Below are 18,438 nucleotides of genomic sequence, written 5' to 3'. Positions count from 1 at the left end.
TCTGTAGGAAGAGATGTGCAAAGATTACCCTGGGCCAAGGGAATCACATATGCAGTGGCATCAGAGAAATACCTGGTGGGTCAGGGAGTGGAGGGAGCAGCCTTACATGTGGGGGATGATGGGAGCAGTGACAGCTGTGGCTTTGTATGTGGTTTTCCTTAATGCCCCCAATGTCTCCCAACAATGGCTGGCTCTGTGACTGCTCAACATGGCATCGTGGGCTTGCCTCGGGTGTTCCGGAGTCTGGGTTCTGTCTGTAGGGAAAAGGACTCACGTTAGCATCTGCCCAGAGTTTGGCTCCAGGGGTGCCATCAATCTGCTGATTCTTAAGCACCAGGCGTCAATAAAAATAATCAAAGGAAACTAACAGCCCATAAACAATATTAACTCCAGGACTGGTAGGCGAGGGGCTGGAGAATATTGGAGCAACCCACATTTGAATACTTGGACAAAGCCCCAGTGCAAAATGTGCTTTCTGTATAAGGAACAGATGCTGATCAAACCGTCAAGATGGTAATGGTTTAATTTGATGTTTTGAGAAGAAGACCATGTTCTTTCCCCCTTTCGATGCATCTCATCATTGGAGACGTGTCTTCTCTCCAGAGTTTAGATCCTGGGCCTTTTTTTTTTTTTTTTGAGACGGAGTCTCACTCTGTCGCCGAGGCTGGAGTGCAGTGGCACGATCTTGGCTCACTGCAAGCTCCGCCTCCTGGGTTCATGCCATTCTCCTGCCTCAGCCTCCCTAGTAGCTGAGACTACAGGCGCCCACCACCATGCGATCCTGGGCCTGGTTTTCCAGGTGAGCTCTGGACCTCACATTTGGTCTGAGTCTAGTCATCCTTATACCCTCAATTCTATGAATCTTTGACACAAAAACTGTTTCCCTTCTACCTGGTCCGTGGCAATACAATTCAAATAGCAAACCCTTTGAGCTCTAGCTCATGTATAAGGTCTGAACTGATTCGTTTTCAACTGTATTATGGAACAAGGTACCATCAATTTTATGAAAACTATGATAACAATGATTCAGGCACTGATGTAGCATGCTTGGTGCATAGCATTCTTGACCTGGTTTAATTAACCAGGTTAACTAGTAGTGGCTTCTAACTCTTCGCTTCATCTTGTGTTGTGTGGACAGGGCCTAACATCCAAAGTCCAGGTAAACTGGAAGGTCTAGGCTTATCTGTTCCCTGATGTTTTAGTGAATTATCTCACTTCATTGTTTATATTTTATATAGATAGCATGCCCTATATGCCAGGCATTCTTGTAAGCACTTAAAGATATTAACTCATTTAATCTTCATAACAACCTAACATGGCAGGTATTATTATCCCAGTTTTGGTGATGAAAAAACCGAGGTGCAGAGAGGTTAATAAATCCCCCAAGGCTCCGTATCTTCTACATGGCAGAGCTAGGATTCAAACACAGGGTTTGGCTCTGCCCCAAGGCTGCCTCTTTGGGACTGAGAAGATGTGGTCATTCTGTGGCATCTTCCCACCTGCTCACCTCTGCACTGGGTTGGATTGGAAGCCACACCTCTCATACTCCAGGGTTTTCTCGCTGCCCTGAAGCCGTCTGCAGCCCCAGGCCAGCCTGGCCCGTTGCTTTCAGAGAGTTGGTTTCTGTTTGCTTGCCTTGTCTGGGCCTTTGCAGGATTGTGAGGCCAGGAGTGAGGAGGGGAAAATGGCTCTCCCCACCCTGTTCCTCTTGACTTGCCAAGAGCTACTAGGCCCTGAGCCAGCTCCCTGGGCCTGCTGCCACCACAGATGTGTCCTGCCCCCAGCAGCAGAACCAGGCCCTTTCTTGGAAACTGACCAGGGGGTGCCAATGGAGAAAAAGATGAAACCTCCTTCTCTGTCTACCCTGATGGTCACCTACACCCCACCACAATCTCAGAGTGTAGGTTAGTTGTGCCCATGTTCTTCTAACAGCTTCTCTGAAGTCCCGTCATAATCTCTGGGCCCTAAAGAATGTGTTAATCTCTTGGAGTTTGGCAGGTAGGAGCCATTCTCTAGTATTCTAGATGAGGTCCCTGCAATGCACATCTGCAGAACTGGGCTCCCCACCTGTGCCTTGGTAAAGGCAGGTCTGGTCTCTCTCACTGAATCCATGCCCCATGCATAGGGGTTTGGTTTTTTGAGCTTAGGATGGCACCTGGACAATTCTCTTTTGTTGTTCAGTCAAGAGACACAGAGGAACAGGCCCTGGGTAAAGCACAGGACATCCAGAGACCAACAAATCACAGTTCCTGTCTCATCCAGCTCACAATGTCCTGAGTAAAGCAGGTAAACACACAATTATATGGAGGAATGAGAAAAGCTTTGATGGTAGGGAACAAAATGAGACAGACAGGGTAGACTACTCCAGGGTGGATAACAGTCAGGGTGGACAAGGTCTTTCAGGAGCTGACACTTGTGTTAAGTCCTAAGAAATGGATAGGTGTTAACTGAGCACAGAAAAGGAGGAACCTTTGTTAAGGTGCTGGGAACTACGTATGCAAATGTATTAACAGGGAAGAAAACATTTCTGATGCCTAATGTGACCATTGAGACTTGTCACATGAATACTCTTGTTCGAGGAAGTGATGTCTGGTGTCACAGCAGCCACTTCGTGATGGTGAGGCTGTTCAGCTAGTATTTGAGTCAACACCTTTGGGCTGTTGGGTAGAATATTAAATATCCTTAGGATTTAAGCATGCTTTTGTTTTAGTTACTTTCAGATAAAAAGATATTAACTGATACAGCTATGATAAGAAATAGTGTTTACAAGCAAAGAAAGGCATAAAATGCTGTTTTATGCAGTTTGTTGTGTGTAGACATGGCTCTGCCCGTAGTGGATGGATGTGTGTGTACACGTGCACGAATTTGCCTGTGTGAGTTTTTCCAATATTACACATTATAATTGTGTCCCATCTTATTAGTCTAAATAAATATCTTTCCAAATGGAGGAGTAGATGCAGGTACCTCTTCACACCATACCAGCTCCCCGAGCGGAAACCTCATGAACGGTCACCTCCAAAAGAAACCACACTCACGCACTTGTTCACAAGGAGTATGCCAGCTCTCCTCATGCCTGCCCCACAGCTTTGGAAAATTTTTTAAAGTTCATTATTTATAAAGTTAATGCCTATAATGAAAAGGTTTCTCTTTGATGTGGGAGTGCTTTCGAAGCCTGGGTGACCTATATTGCCAATGTACTCTGTGTATGAGGTGAGGCAGGGACCGGCTGGGGAATTACCCGTGTTTAATGAACACTAAAATTAGAATTTGACTGAAATCCACAGAAATGGCTTGACAGCAAGTTCGAGATGCCCCTGGGGAGCTGTGGGCAGCTCAAATTTACCCACAGGCATTTTTGAAAAAAAAATTTTTTTTTTTTTTTTTGAGTCAGCACAGTTGGCTCTTTTGAGCCTAGAATGCTGCTTGCACTCAAAGGCCTCTCTCCCCTTCCCCCACCCCAGCCCCCTGACACCGATGCTTTGGGGACAGCTAGGCACCTCTGCAGGCTTTTGTTGTGTTGCTCATGCCCGGATGAGCATAGTGCATGAAGCCTGGTGATGTTCTGTTTTGCCTGTTGCCAGTGACCACACTCTTCACAGGAAGTTCTAAGAAAAATCACAGCATCAGGAGTGTTTATGCTGTTGACTGAAAAAGGCCCTAGATATATATCCTCTTGTTCAGTCGTCCCCTTAAAAAGGGATTTGGTTGAATTTTGACAGTCTAAAAAGCCCAACAGAAATTTGATATTTTACTGACCACTGTGGAAAGAGAGGCCTGAGTATATAATAAGCTTAGTTTAGGGATCGTTTCTCTAAACCCAGGAACCATAAAGACAAAAAAACTTAAAAAAATGGTAATGAAGGACAAGTATGGGGGTCCAGCTTTAGTACAGCTGTCTCATCTCACAGAGGCTCAAGGAGGGGAAGCAGCCAGGAATCAGGGCAGAACCCAGTTTAGAAGGCAAATCTCTCGATTCCTAGGCCAGTGTGCTTTCTGCTGGGGCCCCTCACCCAGCGTGTGCATGACTGCTGTATTAGTTGCATTTTAATTATTGAGGAGTATATTTATATACTTGTATAATTCAAAACTTTTGTTTTAGTTTTAAGTTATAAAAGCATTTACAAAGTTGCTTGTTTTTAACAACAAAAAAAGAAAAACTATATATAAAAATGAAAATAATCACTTTCAATCCTTCTCTACTCCCTGCCTACTAGGGCACTGATGTTAACATTTTGATATATGGTATTCTGTAGCTTTTTATATTCTTACATAAACATACAAATATATACACATATGGGCTAGAGGCATGTCTTCCTATTTTTAATAAACTATTAAACTCTTTCTCCAGCATTTTCCTTTTTCATGTAATAGTACATCAAAAGTATCTTTCTGTATGTGTATACATCATCTAATTCTTAATAGTGCCATAATATTCTATATTATAGATTTATCAAAATGTACTCATATTTCTTATCGATCCACTTACTTTTTCAAGATACGTCTTCATACGGTGTTTCTCAGGGCCACTGCTACCCTGGTCTAGTGTTTCTCAAACTTGAGAGTTACAAGAATCACCTGAAGATCACATTCCTGGGCCCCACTCCTAGCAATTTTGATGCAGTGGGTTTAGGTAGGAGCTGGGAATTTGCATTTTTGAAGCTCCCAGGTGTGGTGATACTGCTGGGCTGAAAACTAGGGTTTGAATAGCTCTTCCCTAGTCCAAACTCAATTAGCCCCTGGTGTAATGGGTGAATTTGTCTCTTAATTCACTGGCTTTTACTGCAACCACTCATTTTACCCTCTGATCTCTTCATGGTACAGCTAGAATGATATTTTGGAAACAAAGCTGGTTGAACTTATGGCTGCTGAAAACTCTTCAGTGTAATCTCACTGTGCATGGGATGGCCTACCTGGCTCTGCCCATTCTCTCCCCTCTCCTCTCAAGGATTTCCCTCCTTGGCTGTCTCCCACAATGGCCTTCTTAAGGTCTGTCCTACTTGCCGTGCTCCTTGCAGCCTCAGGGCCTTTGCACATGCAGTTCCTGCTTCCTCTCATGTCTTCCCTCCTACCCTCTCCTAGCACGGTGCCTTGCCCATAGCAGCCACTCAGAAAGTAACTGTGGAATGAATGATGGAATGAACAGTGAGACCTAACCATCTTCATGGACTTCACAGTCTCTAAAATGCTTTGATGGATTTTTTGGGGAGCCAAAGTGTGCAAATGCCACCTACTCGGTGTTCATGTTCTCCAAGGTCCAGTTGAGACCACCCGTGCTTTTCAGGAGCTGAGAAGAATGGCACTACTCTGAGCTGCTCTCCAAAGTGGAATATTAATCATTTCCAGATACAAAGTCATCAGTGTTACCTTGTGCTTTATGCTGCCTGTCCTTGAATGCAGACTACATGGAGGCCTTTGCTGGCCACAGCCAGACAGCACTGGTACAAATGGGCTAAGCCACAGCCACTGTAGAAACTGCCTCTCTTTATGTCTGGTTTTTCATCAACAGCCTCCCTTCCTATGCCTCTCACTTACCTCTCTGCTCTATTTGTCTCAAACACATCTCTTATGGCTCCTTGGCAACCCATTTTTGCCTTCTGGATGTTAAAACCTGAAAAAAATGGATAAATGGGAAATAGTTCCCATACACAACCAAACCAGAACTCATTTGAAACATTCAAAGGATTCAGTATCCTATCCTAATAAGCTGGGACCCGACCTTCAGAGTCCAGCTTAAAAAAAAATTATCAGGGAAATTGCCTGTGATCATCAAAACCACTTTAGGTCTCTCCCCACATTATATAACGTTAAGCACCATCTGTGTTCATTTGTTTAATGTCTTTCTCCCCTACTGAGTGTTCAGCTATTTTAGGGAAGAGATCATGATGATGAATTTTTTGGTTTGTCTGTTTTCTTTCTGTATCTTCAGTGCCTTGAACAGTGCCTGGCACATAGCAGATGCTCATTAAACACATGGTGAATGCATGCATGAATGAATGAATGCATGACCTACCCATCCCTCTTTTTCCACTCTCCTTCCTTCCTTCCTTCCTTCCTTCCTTTCTTTTCTTTTCTTTTCTTTTCTTTTCTTTTCTTTTCTTTTCTTTTCTTTTCTTTTCTTTTCTTCCTTTCTTCTTTCCTTCCTTCCTTTCTTCTTTCCTGCCTTTCTTTCTTTCCTTCCTTCCTTCCTTCCTTCCCTCCCTCCCTCACTCCTTCCTTCCCTCCCTCCTTCCTTCCTTCTTTCCTTCTTTCTTTCCTTCTTTCTTTCTGTCTTGCTCTGTCGCCCAGGCTGGAATGCCGTGGGGCTATCCTGGTTCACTACAACCTGTGCCTCCTGGGTTCAAGCCATTCTCCTGCCTCAGCCTCCTGAATAGCTGGGACTACAGGTGTGCACCGCCAAGCCTGGCTAATTTTTTTATATTTAGTAGAGATGGGGGTTTCACCATGTTGGCTAGACTGGTATCGAACTCATGACCTCAGATGATCCACCCGCCTCAGCCTTCCAAATTGCTGGCATTACAGGTGTGAGCCACCATGCCCGGCCTCCAGTCTCCTTTCTTCTCAGCTCTTCACATGCACTTTAAGTTCCAGATACACAAAGTCAGATTCTCTAGCTAGTACCAAGCTCTTTCAAACATCTCTGCTTTCTCGTGGAATTCTTTCTCCTCCTAAAATTTTATCTCCTTTCCTCTTTCCATTTTCCAGCCTGGAAAACACCTCACCATCTGCTGAGGCCTAGTGCCATTTTCACGGGCCTCACAGTGGTTTCTCAGGGGCACACAGGTAGAGTGGGTCTCCCCCTGTGCTGAATATTGCTCCTAGCAGCTGCAAGGACCACATTAGACTTGAATTATAGTCATCTCCCACTTAGCGTCAATAATTTATGCCCCAACCTCACACATTCTGTCTGAAACGGTTAACTTGGCACCTGTAACTAGTTATTTTAGATAGGAACAATTATATGGCATTAACCAGTAGCCCCGAACCCTTAACAAATTTCTTAAATCATAACTAAGACAAGGTAAAATACCTATATATGGAACAAGATATGTTAGAATGTAAAATGTTTAAAACTTTGCTTGCAAAATGTCAGACAATTAATATGGATGCTAGGAATCAGCCACCTCTTCTGCAGTGATGCTACGGTATACTTCTTAGCGCCGGCCACATTTGGAGACTCAAGTTCTGTTTTTGACCCTCAGCTTTCAAATAGCTACATATTATTCTGACGTTGTACTGATTTTATTTGGAAGGACACTCAATTCTTTATTTGCATATTGTATTAAAAACTATATTGCACTGAGGATTGGGGATGTAAATATATGTTTTCCTTTACCAACATTAGTGCAGTGATGTTATATTGGGAAATATTTGCATCCTATGAAGCTTGTGTATTAAAGACCCAAGGTGTTGAGCTAGAAAAATGTTAAGAAGGGAGATGTTCTCTCTGAAAAAATGTTGCATATTTTCCTAAATCCAGGTAATCCCTAGCACAACCTGGAGAACTTTCTCTTTCAAGTGGTTCTTAGGCTCCTCTAGCAGAGATTCAGATTCAATAGGTCTGGGGATCTGCAGATGGGGCCCCGGAATTGATTTCCAACTGTTTCATATGAAGAACCAGGTTGAGAGTCGCTGGTTTAGGTTATGCATGGTCTCTGCCAAATAGCTCATGAGCTTTTCAGTGACAGGCATTCTTTTGTTTCTTTATGCCCATGTGCTTGGGATGAAGTTGAGGTGTCGCTGAAGTGAACAGTACTGATGCTGTGCATACAGCAGGCCTACCATAAATGCTTATCCAGAAGTGTTTGTGTGGGGCCAGGCTTTTTTGAAGACTTTGTTTGCTGTGTCTGCTACAGGGCCTTGCCTATAAGGAATCATTTGGAGTTTTTTTCTCGATGAGGGATCTGGAATTGTATTTTGTGTAAAGCGTTCTCTTTCCTTCTGTCTTTCCTGAGTCAGGCAGGTTTTGTGGTTTTGCAAGAGTAAGAGTTTCTCACAGCATCGGAGACCACTGAGTGAAGCCTGATCCTTGTTAAAATCATTATTGTCATCTAGTTCTCCTAGCCTTTTGTCCACCCCGGGGCCAGGTCAAGAGGCCCCTTCCTAAGCTCTCACCTGCAATAATGCTTCCTGCCCTTGACCTTGGGGTCCACCAGATTGCACTGTGCTTTGCCTCTCCAGCAAATCCAGGGTTGCCTCTGGGGCTCTCAGGTTTCATTTTATTTTCACTAAATCCTTCTGGGGCTTCTATTTTTATCCTTGTGTTTGAGTTGTCGAGGCTGTTTAAGATGACGCCTTTGCTATGGTAGTAGTTCTCCTCCCAGGGACAGAGACTACTGTCCCCCTGTGGCCACCTTGTAGCATTTACCTGCACACACGGGGGTGAATCCTCTTCTATTCCTCCTCCTCTTCCTGCCACACTCACAACCATGCAGGCACAAAGTTTCTCAAGCAGTTAAGAGGGAAAAAAGTTGATTGGTATAGTTTGTGTAGTTGATTTGCATAGTCTGTACAGTTGATTTCCATAGTTGTCTATATTTTCTGCATTGGTCACTTTTTCCCTTTATCCATAGCTCTTTTCAGCAATTGTCATTTTCTGCTTAATGTCAATAATTCAGTCTTTTCTCTGCAATATTCTGTAACTGCAGTAGGACTTTTAAATTCTTTGAGATCAGGAGTTTGTCTCATCTATCTCTGCAACACTGAGGGCACATGGCACCCAGGAGAGCTTGGTGACTGCTTGCTAAATGAAATATTATCTTCCAGAACTCTGAAGACACAGCCATTGATGCATAGCAAATTAAAAAGAAAAACCCTAAACAAAATTGGAATAGTTTATTTTTAAAAATGTCACAGTGTTGCCTATTTACAACTATATATAAACAACCTGAACAGCACAGTTCACTTTCAGGTTCGGAAGAGAGGTTGTTGAATGTGTCATGGCCCTGCCACGCCTATCTCCATGGTGATGTCTTCTCACTTTGCCTTCCTCCTGAGAAATGGCAGTGCCCATCTGAATGAAAATCTGATTACAGAGGAGGAGAGAACTCTGGGCAATGGTTCCATTCTCTAGTGCTGGTTGGGCTAAATCAACACTGAACAGTAACCTACATCTGTGTCTGCAGCCTAATCTTGTTCTTTTTTGTAACAACCCTTTAGACCCTAAGCTTCAGTGCTTCCTTCTGCCTGAAACATTATTTCCCTATCCTCTTTGCATGATTACGGTCTGCTAATTTCTTAGATCTCAGCTTTGAAGTCACCTCCTCCAAGAAGCCTACTCTGACTTCCTGGCCCCTTAGGCCGGCACGAGGGGTACCTTCTCTGTTGCAATGGCACCATTTTTCTTCTTCAGAGTGTTGTTATTCTCTCTAGCGATTTTCCACTGTGGCAGACATAGAGCTGCACAGCCCAAATCCTCTTTCAGGGAAGAACTGGATGCCCAGCTGGAGGAAGTGTAGACAGCCCACCATGGGCTTCTTCCTGGTCTCCCTCAGCTGCAGGGAGCCCTCTCCACCAGGGCAGCCCACTTCCAGTGCCTGAGCAAGGTGGGGTGTCAAAGCCACCATTTCCACCTGGTTCGGGCTAATTCTGACAGGTATGCTTGCCCTAGAGCCCCACACCAGGTGGGCTGAGGCTTTGTGAAGCCTGCATCACACCCTACCTTCTCCCTCTGCCCAGTCATGCTCCTTCCCTTCCTTTCACAGGTGCTGAACCCTAATAAGCATCTTGCACATCACACTCCATCTCGGTATCTGTTTTTAGGAAACCCTCTTGATGACTAGTTAGTTGTCTACCTGACTCAGTGAGAACCCAGAAGATGCTCATTCATTATTGCAGCCCCAAGTACCTATTACACAGCAGAAAGCAAATATCTGTTGATGGATCTGTTGAATGAATGAATGAATTTGGATGACTCCAAAAGAGGTTCCCATGCTTGTTTTCCCCTGACCTCGGGTGGGCTAGATGCCCCTCTCTGACCATCATCCTCATAACCTGAGCCCTGTCAGTCCCTCTCCCAGTGGAGAAGTGCATGTTAATTGTATCTTTTCCCCTTTGTTCTCCATCCTTCCCTGCCCCTGGGAGGATTGGATAGGGGTACTGAGCAGCTGAGGACAGACAACCCCTTTTATTCCTTTTGACGGCCTCAGGGAAGTTTGATGGGGATATTTCCATAATCGATGAGGGAGCCCTGTCACCCCAACCATGGAGTCTTTAAAGAGAATAGGTTTATGCAAATTAGATATTGATGGAGTAATGATTAATTGGCCCTGAGCCTTTGTTAATATGCAACTGTAGTAACAGAGATACATTTATAATTATTTCAGTTAATTGTTCAAACAAGCACTCAGGACTTAATTGCACAGAGTAATTGAAGAGTCTTGGTATTAGGATTATTTCTTTCTAGAGTAAAATCAGAGTCATTTAACTAGTTGGATTCCTGTGCTGGGGTGGGTAGGTGAAGTCTAGTTCCTCAAAGTCTACTTTAGATCTACAAATGTGAAGGTACAGTCACATATTCTCATATCTTGTGTTATTAAAGGTGTTAGGGATATAGGCATTGAATTTGGACAGATAAGAGTTCCAATTTTGTCACTTCAATAGCTGTGTGGTTTGGGGAAAGTTATTTAGCTTCTCTGAGCTACAGTTCCCTAATCTGTAAAATGAGAAAAATAATATTTAAAGAGTGGTGGGGAAAATAAATGTAGCAGTCCATGGTACATGGTAAACAGTCCTAATGAGAACTGCTGCAATGATATTTATCATCGCTGCCTCGCAGAGGCTAGATTAGTAGACAGGAGTACATGGTGTCAAATACCTCTGATCTCATGCACGAGAAGCATGTGGCAGAGGAAGGGCATAAAAGGCCTGACTTAGTTTATTTAAATACACAGAAATGGGAGCAGATTGGAGGCACATGTGCAGGTTCTGCTACTGAACTGCAAAAGGTGATGACAGGGCTTTGCAGAATAGCTGGTTTGACTTCCCACCTTGAGGTGACCCAATTCTGAAGGATCTTGTGAATTCCAATTTTCTCTTATTTACCTTTGTTCAAATTCTAAAATCTGTCTCTGTCACTGTCTGTCTCTGTCACACACTCACACACCCATTTACAAATATTGTGATGGGGAGAAGAAGAGTGGTTGTGTCTGGTAAGGGGACAGTTCTTTTCAATGGTCCTTGGGATTGTTTCTGGTCCTTGCTGAAAGTGGACACTTTCCAGCCATGCACGGCAAGAGTTTGCAGGATGAGCTGGTCATAGTGGAGAAAGGTGCTAGCAGCATCTGAATTTCAGGCTCAGAGAGAAAGAAGAGAACATATTGTGGTTTCAGAGTATGGGCTCTTATGCCAGGCAAATGTAGTTGTAGTCCAGGCTTTGCTTCTTCTAAGTCTATCATCTGGAACTGAATATCTAAGCTGTCTCTGACTCAATTTCCCCACTGAACTATGAGTTCAGAATCCATAGACAATAATAGTTCGGACATCGTTGAGTTGCAGTAAGGCATAAATGGAGCCAGTGAGTAAAGTATTTAGCACAGTGCTTGGGCACCTGAGTACTCAACAGGTACATTGTGATGATGATGATGGAGACTGAGAGCTGTGGGTGGGGCTCTGGCAGCCTTTCAGGCAGTTGTAGAGGTGCTACCGAGGGGATCACCCATTCATTCCCAAATTACTCCATAAACCTCAACCATCAACAAAGATACCCAGTGAGAAAAATGGACTGGCTGGGCGTGGGGTGTGTTTCCCTGTTCCCCTGTCAGGTTGGCCACTTTTCCTGGAGGACAGCTGGTGATTCCTTTGGCTGGAACCCTCCCCTCAGCAGGGCCGATCATGCTGCTGCTGGTTTGTTTGTTTGTTTTTTTATCACCTCCAGCTAAAATCTCAGAACAGAAGGAGGCTGGGCACATAGACATTCTCTTCGTGGTAGGCGGGCCACCAGGAACACTAGATTATTGTTTAGGTAACAAATGCTATTTGATAAATAATTGTTATGGAGTGAGTAGTGAGAACTCTCAACCCTGTTGGCATGGGTCTCAAGAAAAATGGCAAGAGTGTCTGCGAAAAGCTGTAGCCCTTCACAGGGTCATCTGGTTCAATCTCCCCATCAACCTACAAAGTGAGTTCCCATTTTACAGATAAGCAGGCTAGGCATAGAGTGGCAAAGTGTGTGCCATTTGTTTTTATGGGGCAGTTTTTTTCAATTTCCTCGTGCACTGGGGAGGCCCTTTTCTTGAAATATTCTACAACCTACTCAGGCTTAGAATTTTGCCATCAAAGCTCCACTGAAGACTTTTGTCCCTTTTAAGCTAATAATCTTGGAGATAAGGTGGGATGTGTGCAAAATCTTCTGGCAGCCATTCCAGGCAGTGGAAACTCCCAGTCAATTGATTTTGTTACTGTAGCGTGGACAATCAGTGCCTGCCTGTGCAGTGGGGGCTGAATTCACGCCCAGGCTTCCCTTTACCTAGGTGTTTGTTTTCTTTGATTATTGGTTACTTCATCTTAAAGGTGCTCATCATGGAACCTCTGTCTCATCAACATCTTTCTTTCCCTGTCAACTCTACCATCCTGTGGTGTCTGCTAGATTCAGTGCTGCCAGGCTGCACTGAGGAAGCCAGATCCATCATTACACTTCTGAAAACACCGCTCTGACCACTTCGCTGCTACCTGCACCCTCAGATTCTGCTTGGGGTGCCACCTACTCTGCCTTGACCCCATCCCGTAACAGGGAGTCTGGCCCAAACTCACTTCCCCTCAGCATTTTCTTCCCATCCATACAGTCTGCACCTCCCTGACTGCTCCTCAGGAATTCTGGAGCAGGAGATTTAAGATCCTTTATATCTCTGAAATTCTCAACCTGTTCTTATTTATTTTACTCTTTTCCCACCTAAAGGAGACGGAACCAGGAAGCAAAGGACTGCTTCTCGTGACAGACGCAATCCAGGCATTTCATAGGCAGCAGCGATTCTCAGCATCACTCCCTACCCCACCCCAAGGGATTGACTGTCATCTCATCCATCACATAGATTCACTTTCAAAGCAGATTTTCAACTGTGGAGCTTATCCTTGGGGACAAGGTGTATAGAGTGTTGGTATGTGTGTCTGTGGGTGGGGGTTAATGTGATATATTAATTGCAACTCTCTGGTTTGAAGAAAAGTGCTCTCAACTTAAACCAGCTGATAGAGTTGGATGTTTGTCCGTGCTCAGATCTCATGTTGAATTGTAATCCCCAGTGTTGGAGGTGGGGCCTAGTGGGAGGTGTTTAGGTCATGGGGATGGATCTCACATAGCTTGTTGCTATCCTTCTGATTGTGAGTTTTTGCAAGATCTGGTTGTTTAAAGGTGTGTGGCACTTACCCTCAGTCTCTCTCTTGTTCCTGCCCTGGCCATGTCATGTGCCTGCTCCTGCTTCGCTTTCTGCCATGAGTAAATGCTTCCTCAGGTCTCCCCAGAAGCCAAGCAGATGCTGGCACCATGCTTCCTCTACAGCCTACAGAACCATGAGCCAATTCAACCTCTTTTCTGTATAAGTTACCCAGCTTTAGGTATTTTTAATAGCCATGTAAGAATGGCCCAATACACCAGCTTAAACCAAAAAGGGAGTTTATTAGCTAACAGGACAGAAAAGTCCAGGGGTTATGACTTCAGGCATGGCTGGATTCAGAGACTTAAACAATGGTGTCAAGGACTTCTTTCCTCTGCTCTGCTTCCCTTGATCTCGGCCCCTTTCTCATAAAGGAAGGATGGCTGCTAGTAGCATCGTTCCAGTTCTCAGCTCCCCTGGAGCAGCACTACATTGATTTTCTCTATGGTTCAAAAAACATTTTAAGCCCTCGATTGAATCTCATTGACTCTGCATGGGTCACATGCTGGTTGCAAAGGCCTGGGGTACAGGTCTGCCCAGGAGCCACATGTGAAGTCAGCTCTGGCCAAAACCACCTGGAGACAGATAATGTAGTCAGGCCGTAGGCGTGATAGTAACCAACATACTCATTTTTTATTTTTTGGAAACAAGGACTTTCTAATAATTTTTCACTCCATGTACTTTGAGGCTCTGTTATTAAGCACATATATATTTATGATTCATATGTCTTCTTGATGAATTGATCCTTTTATTTTATTAATTGATCCTTTTATTTTATTAATTATGAATTGATCTTTATATTTCCAGAGATAGAAATGCTCCCTTTCTATCTGTGGAAATATTATTTGTCTATTTTGTCTGACATCACTGTAGTTGCAACAGCTTTCTTGTGCTTACTGATTGACTGGGGTACCTTTTTGCATCTATTCTGTTTTACCCTATCTATATCTTTATATTTAAAGCTCATTTCTTATAGATAGCACAGGTTTGGGTCCTGATTTTTTGGATCCGTTCTATCATTTGTGGTGCATTTCTTCCTAGATAGGTGATAAGCTTGCAGAGTGTATGTGTGAGATCTTTCCTGTCTGGGGCAACCTTCATAGGCCCAGATCCTTGTACTGCCCATAGCATGTGTCTGATCTTACAAGTGTTGGGAGGCAGTGCTGATGGCAACTGTCTGGCATAAGGCAGATATTCAACGTGGAAAATGAGTGAAGGGTTAGAGAATTAGAAGACTGTAGGGAGGTGAATGTTAAATGTTAGGCTGAGTGAGACGGGGGGCCAGGGAGGACTGGGCTGGGTTCTGGGCAGGGCTACATACTAGAAATGTAAATGAGAAAGGGCAAAGTTGTCTATAACAGGCAGAAATGATGAGGGACAGAAATATGTGCCCCAGAGAATAAAAGGGATGGGCTTTAGGAGCAGGATGAAGATGGAGGAAATCCAGAAAAGTGTTTGGATGATGCTAACATACTTTTTGAGGTGCAGAATCGGCTGCCCCTTTTTCAGCCAAATGCGTGAAAATGCACTCCCCAACAGTTTCAGCTCCTGGAGTGTAGTCCCAACAGCAGGTGCATAGTAAATCTTTTTTGAATTAAATGGAAATGTTTAAGGAGCCATTTCCTTAGCCAGGGCTTTCTTTGCTGTCAAGGAAGAATTTATTTAACAAGACCTAGACTTTGGCAAACGAGATTCTCCTTCTCTTGGCTGGTCTTTGGCCATGATTTAAGATGCCGATATTTGCAGTCCAGTGTTGGGAAATAGGTTCTTGGTTGGGGGAGGAGTGTAGCTTTAAGGTTTGGGAAGCAGATAATTTAAAGAAACTCTGAAAATACATTTGGTTTTCACTCTGCTTCCCCCAAATGCTTCCAGATCTTTGAAGTATATACTTAGTTCTCCAAAGTCACAAATCTCTAAGGATAGTTTTTGTTGCAAATACAATGACTTTTTGTATCAGCACAATCAACTCCAGATCATCACTATGTAAGAGGCAGGGAATATTCATTGAATTGGTGCAGCATTTGGTGCAAGTTTTCTTTTTTTCTTTTTTGAGATGCAGCTTCGCTCTTGTCACCCAGGCTGGAGTGCAATGGCGTGATCTTGGCTCACTGCAACCTCCACCTCCCAGGTTCAAGAAATTCTCCTGCCTCAGCCTCCCGAGTAGCTGGGACTACAGGCGTGTGCCACTACGCTTGGCTAATTTTTGTCTTTTTAGTAGAGATGAGGTTTTGCCATGTTGGCCAGGCTGGTGTCAAACTCCTGAGCTCAGGTGACCTGCCTGCCTCGGCTTCCCAAAGTGCTGGGATTACAGGCGTGAACCACCACCTGGACATTTTCTTTCTTTTCCCTGCTGTGGATATTGTCAGTTGCAAGCATTATTTTCAATCTAACATGTATATTCTATAAGAATCTGAGTGCCTGGGATCAACAATTAGCGATCAGAAGAAGTTGGTGTCTGGTCATCGGTTTACGGTGTGTCTTTTCTCCTTCTATTTCATTACCAACAACAAAACATTTCTTTCTGTGAACAGAAGAGGCACCTTTCTTTTGCAGACACCCAGAGCTAAGGTGCAGCATCCATGCCAGGCCTTAATGATCACTTGTTTCTCAAGAAGACAGCTACAGTAGCTAGAATGAGCCCTGTGATTCAGGGAGGTAAAAAGGAGAGGAGATATTTTAATGTTAGTGGAGTGCTGTGTAGCTTCTCAGAATCCATCACCCCTCAGCCAACATCCCCATATCGGACCACTGTGAGAGCCAGACCTTCCTGCCAGGAGGTGGCCACAAAGCACCTCCTACTTCTACAGCAGGGACTAGGGAGTGGCAAAGAGGGAAGAAGCCCCCCTAGGTACTAGTTTGGTCCCATATCTCTCTCAACGTGGAAGCAGTGTTGCAAAGTGCTCAGGAAGCTGTTAAATTCATCCAGATATCGGGCACTTGGTCACAGCAGGGGAGAAGATCCACCAGCCAACCCCCAAGTTGTAACCTTCCTTAATGGTTTCATAAGCGGGACATTCAAATCCCTCCAGGTATAATTACAGGAGAAGTAGGTTCTGTCTGCTTAATTACGTGGGATTCTCTGCTAATACAAAATGACTCCTTTTGCAGAGGTGATGTGAATGATAAAGTTTCAAAGATGCCAAACACTTAGGCAAATTGGAGACATCATTGTCCCCCCATCAGTAAGTGCTGAAGGTAACAATGGAGAAGGCCATTTCCATTTAATTCATCTTGAATATCGTAATGTGGATTCAGATGTAATCTCATTCTGAGCACAGTGCTATGTTTCTGTTCAGTTTTACATCAAAGCCTCTTTCGGAAGGCATTTTTCTTCTTACAGTGCTACTTTCACAGATATTACTTCTGCATATTTTAAATGAATAGACAAAACAAAAATATTAATGGCTTTAAAGATTGAAAATCTGTGACCTCACTATGTAACTCAGTGACTTCATTTTTATCTCCATATATAACTTACACAGATAAAGCAATACCAAACCTACTCTTTTGTACTTTATTTTCACTTCAACATTTTCCCTTGTGGTACTATGAAGTCATTTTAATAATTACCCAGTATTTGCATCCTGTTACTTTACAAATATTTATTAAAATTTTCCCCAAATAATGAACATTTATGTTTTTTTCAAAGATGAGCTTTTGGAGAAAATCATCATTGAATAAATGCCTGCATATAATTTTATTTTTTCTATGTGTTTGTTAAATTAGATCCTTGGATAAAATTCATAGAAGAAGAATCACTCCCATAAGGAATAGGACTATTTTCCTGAATCTTGTTATAATAATTTCCAATGTGGTTGTGTCAGTTTAGAATGAATGAATGAATAATGAATGTAGGGCTCACTGAAAACTCATGAGGATTTGGTGTTAAAATCTGTAAAACTTAGGTTTCAGAGAGTATCTCATTCTTGCTCAGTATTCCATATATTTGGTTTCTCTCCAAGTTTTTGATCCTCTTTCTAGCAAAAGATACCTGGCTGTTTCCAAGCTAATCAAAGGCAGTGTTTCTTTGGCTTTAAAGCATATACAATCATTTCTCTGAATGCTAAGATTTCCTGCAGCTTTTCCTTCCATGAGCCAAATGCAGAAAAAGAAGGAACAAGTTTATCTAGCAACATGATGATGCTAGTCTCTCTAAAACCCAGAGTTATCTTTCCTTAAATGGAAAAAAATATTCTACCTATTTCTTTTCTCACAATTGAGACCGACATGAACTTTGTTATCTGCTAATAATCCAGTGGAAAGTTTTCAGTCTTTAGGCAAGCACACCTCCTCAGCAGCACTTGACTTTGGCCCACTCGCTCATAGAAACCCCGTCTTTCGTTGGGGCCTGTGTCCTCTTTTCCTCATGTTTCCATCCACTTGTCTTGCTGTTCTGTAGGGTCCTTTATTGCCTCTGTCTTAGTCACCTGGCCACTGAACGTGGAATGTCTGTGGCTCCTAGTCTTAGGCCCTCTTGTCTTCTGCTCTGCTCCCTGAACAGTCTCATCCCCATCTGAGACTTCCATTGACATCTCAGTGCCGTGATTCATACATTTAAATCTTCATCCCACATCTCTGAGTGCCAAACATGTGAATTGGAGTGTCAGCCAGGTATATCCATTTGACTGTTATGAGTATAATTTGGCTGATTCTAATGTGAGTTTCCTCCTCTAGCCATCTTCCCAAACCTAGTCCTCTTTTGGAAGTCTCCATCCCAGCACAGGGACCTCTGTTTGTTTGTTTGGGAAGATCAGGAACCAAGCAGTGTCTGTGATGCCTCTTCTCCTTGCTGCCCACATCTGTGTCATATCAAGTCCTGTTGACTTACTGTCTAAACACCTCTCACCTTCATTCACTTCTTCTCACCTGCTTAGCTGCTTGTTAAATACACACAAGCCAGACTTCTCATATCTGCACAGCCTCTCTTTTCCCCACTCTGCTCAATTCTGTTCTCTTCATTGAAGCAGGTGGCTTCCTTTGCTTAAAACCTCTGTGACTTCACATTACTGTTAGGATGAGGATAAAAGCTCTAATCATGGCCTATGAGGGTCCATGATCGCGTCCTGGCCTGTTC

At 43.6% G+C, this 18,438-nt stretch overlaps 1 long non-coding RNA gene across 1 annotated transcript in view, besides 1 other annotated feature; it reads left to right on the top strand.

Moving 5' to 3' along the window:
* DYNLRB2-AS1 (DYNLRB2 antisense RNA 1) overlaps positions 1-18,438 on the top strand; it is a 407,178-nt gene that overhangs the window by 213,351 nt on the left and 175,389 nt on the right. The gene's annotated exons all lie outside the window — the stretch shown is intronic.
* Positions 9,927-11,089: an enhancer, noted in NCBI's record as "VISTA enhancer hs4". NCBI's record gives its function as "enhancer in: neural tube[6/10] | hindbrain (rhombencephalon)[10/10] | midbrain (mesencephalon)[10/10]" and the evidence as "EXISTENCE:transgenic organism evidence [ECO:0001131][PMID:17130149]".

This window comes from Homo sapiens, chromosome 16 (assembly GCF_000001405.40).
Source record: "Homo sapiens chromosome 16, GRCh38.p14 Primary Assembly".
Lineage (NCBI taxonomy): Eukaryota > Metazoa > Chordata > Mammalia > Primates > Hominidae > Homo > Homo sapiens.
This window is presented reverse-complemented; position numbering and strand designations above follow the sequence as displayed.